General features: G+C 45.1%; 1 annotated feature.

Moving 5' to 3' along the window:
- Nucleotides 1159-1453: a silencer, noted in NCBI's record as "tiled region #2765; HepG2 Repressive DNase matched - State 5:Enh". NCBI's record gives its function as "represses a minimal TATA promoter and a strong SV40 promoter by Sharpr-MPRA in HepG2 cells {active_cell/tissue: HepG2}" and the evidence as "EXISTENCE:reporter gene assay evidence [ECO:0000049][PMID:27701403]".

Raw genomic sequence — 2253 nt, 5'->3', positions numbered from 1 at the left:
TTTTAAAATACCTTTGCTTATTACTATTATTTGAATACTTACATATTCAAAAGGTTCAAAAGGTATCCAGGGAGAAGTGAGGATACCTCCTACTCCAGCCTCTGTTGATTGGTTTCTTGTGTATTCTTCCTTCCCTGGGTCTAAGTCCTCTGCAGACCCGTGAGTTCCAGCTCTCCTGCTCCTATTCATTTTGAGTTTTTTTTTTATTCACTCGATTATAAATCATGACATTTATTTTAAAAAATCAGAACCTACAGACAATCAAAAGAAAGAGGAGCATAAGAAAAGTGGAATCAAGCCAGGTGTGGTAACGCATGCCTGTAATCCCAGCACTTTGAGAGGCTGAAACAGGAGGATTACTTGATCCCAGGAGTTCAAGATCAGCCTGGTCAACATAGCAAGACCTTCATCTCTACAAAATTAAAAAAAGAAAAAAAGAAGTTAGCCGGGTGTGCTGGTGCACGCCTGTGGTCCCAGCTACTCGGGAGGCTAAGGTGGGAGGATGGCTTGAGCCCAGGAGGTCGAGGCTGCAGTGAGCCATGATCATGCCACTGCACTCCAGCCTGGGTGACAGAGTAAGACCCCATCCCAAAAAACAAACAAAAAAGGAAAGTGGAATCTCCTGAAACCTTACTACCACTTTGACATTTTGGAGCACATCCTCGCAGGCTTTTTCCATCACTTGATGTGTGTGCACATTCTGGTAGCACCAGGTATCTTTCCTTAGTGCTGATCAAAGGTTTGGATGATATGTTTGTGTACTGATCTGATCGTCATCTGCCTTCCCCACTGTGCGGTCAGTTCCAGGAGGCAGGCAAGACCGCGTCTGGGTCTTCCACACCACATTAGGTCCATAATGAATATTTTCTGAATAAATGACTAGTGAATTTTCAAAAGGGATTGTACAATATATAATACTATCCTGTGGCCTATTTTTTCACTTAACGTATTGGGGACATCTTTCCACATCTCTGTGTGGCGAATCTCCATTTTTCATGTCTGCACAGAATCACCACAATAAACATCTTTTTGATGTTAGCCAGAAGCTTCTGCTGCCCCCAACTGGGAAGCTCTTTTTCTAATGCAGATCTGTTAACAAATTCCATATGACCCACCCACACCCCAGCCCTTTGGCCGGTTACTTTCAGGCTAACACTTCACTGGTTACATGGGCCCATTGTTTTCTGGGACAAGTCAAGATTTACTGTCTGTCCCTGACATCATGTTTTCCCAGAGAAGCTTAAGAGTGAAGAACTCATCCCTCCCTACCTCCTGTTTCCGCCAGTTAAGGGTTCTGTAGATTTGCTGAAGTTGGGAAACTTGGTGTAACCCTTGCCTCACTGACCGCCTCACCACAAAGGGCACACGCCAAGCTCATTCATTCCTGCCTCAGGGCCTTTGTGCCGGCTGCTCTCTCTGCCCAGAATACACTTCCCTCCCATATTTGCTCAGCTCACTCCCTTCCTACCGCAGATCTCTGCTTGAACATCACCTTCTCAGAGAGGCCTTCCTCAATTATTTTTCTAAATGAGCATCTCCAAATCACTTATCCAGTTTTACATTTCCTTGTAAAACATTTTACTTGGTATTGTATTAGATCAGATTATATGATGTTATGTTGTGTTGTGCTGTGTTATATGAATATTTTTGGCGTTTTAAAATGGATTGCCCATCTCCTTCACTCTGAAGACAGGGACTGGGACTTTCTTTTCTTTCCTGCAGTATCCGCAGCACCTAAAATAGGGCCTGGAGCATGGTAGGTGCTCAGGAAATACTGGTTGAGTCAATCCATGGTAACTCTAGACTCCAAGGTTTCTTCCAAGGCAGAGAGTCCAGTGCCATCATTTATTCATTCGAGATTTATCTATTGAGCACCTACTGTGTGCCAGGGCTTGTCCGGATGCTGGTGTTGTTCAGTGCAACAGTGGACAAGGCAAACACATCCTTCACAAACGTCTCCTTGAAGGATGTGGTCAGGGGTCCAGGAGACACACATCCATCAGATAGAGACATCCGCGTTGGCTTGCTGGCCTCAGGTTGGTGAAGCGAGGACAGATCTCAAGGTCCCCACTCTAACTTAGCCTCTGCAGAGTTGGGTGAACCCCAAGGGTGACACAAATGGGAATGACACTTTTGTCATTTACTTCTCTCTGCTGTTCTCTTGCCCTCAGTGGAGGAGAAATGGAGAAGGTGTTGCTAGAAACCTTTTTGGATTCTTCCCACAAGCCCAGCCGTCTTTGCCGAAGGAGCTGA

Source organism: Homo sapiens, chromosome 20 (genome assembly GCF_000001405.40).
Source record: "Homo sapiens chromosome 20, GRCh38.p14 Primary Assembly".
In the NCBI taxonomy this organism is placed as follows: Eukaryota; Metazoa; Chordata; class Mammalia; order Primates; family Hominidae; genus Homo; species Homo sapiens.
This window is presented reverse-complemented; position numbering and strand designations above follow the sequence as displayed.